Genomic DNA, 539 nt, shown 5'->3' with positions numbered 1-539 from the left:
GTACGTGCTCCACCACCACGTTTTGTGGATTTTTCTTTTTAAACATCAGTTCTGTTCTCTACAACTCTCCGCCTTCAGGGTTATACTTTCCAGGAACAATAGCTTCCCAATTCGGCTTTGTGCATCCATTTTTCATACAGCATCGTTGTAGTCTTCAAATACAAATATGATCACGGCAATCTGCTGAAAAATCTTTGGTGGCTTTCCCTTGCTCTTGGACAATCCCTGATTGTCCAAGTTTTCGGCTTCATCTCGTTCGCCCACCATACACTGAACTATAAACTGTAGTGGCTTTTTTTCCTCAGGTCTTCCCACAGACTAAGTACCAAGATTTTTCCACCCTACCCTCATCCGTGCTCATTCCGACACACTTTTTGCCTGTTTGACACCTCATTTATTGTCAGATTTCAAGAATCGTTTTCTTCGGGGAACCATTTCTTGACTCCCTTACTGGATGAAACAAGCCTCCCTGTTAAACAGTGTTGGAGGCGCAGAAACATACCCCCAAATAATGGCGTTTTGACATCTGAACTGAAGAA

General features: G+C 43.0%; 1 long non-coding RNA gene across 1 annotated transcript in view; it reads left to right on the top strand.

The window, feature by feature from the left end:
* TARS1-DT (TARS1 divergent transcript) overlaps positions 1-539 on the top strand; it is a 32,713-nt gene that overhangs the window by 430 nt on the left and 31,744 nt on the right. The gene's annotated exons all lie outside the window — the stretch shown is intronic.

The sequence above is a fragment of the Homo sapiens genome, chromosome 5, assembly GCF_000001405.40.
Source record: "Homo sapiens chromosome 5, GRCh38.p14 Primary Assembly".
Classification (NCBI taxonomy): Eukaryota; Metazoa; Chordata; class Mammalia; order Primates; family Hominidae; genus Homo; species Homo sapiens.
The sequence above is the reverse complement of the archived record's forward strand: the minus strand, read 5'-3'. Positions and strand labels throughout refer to the sequence as shown.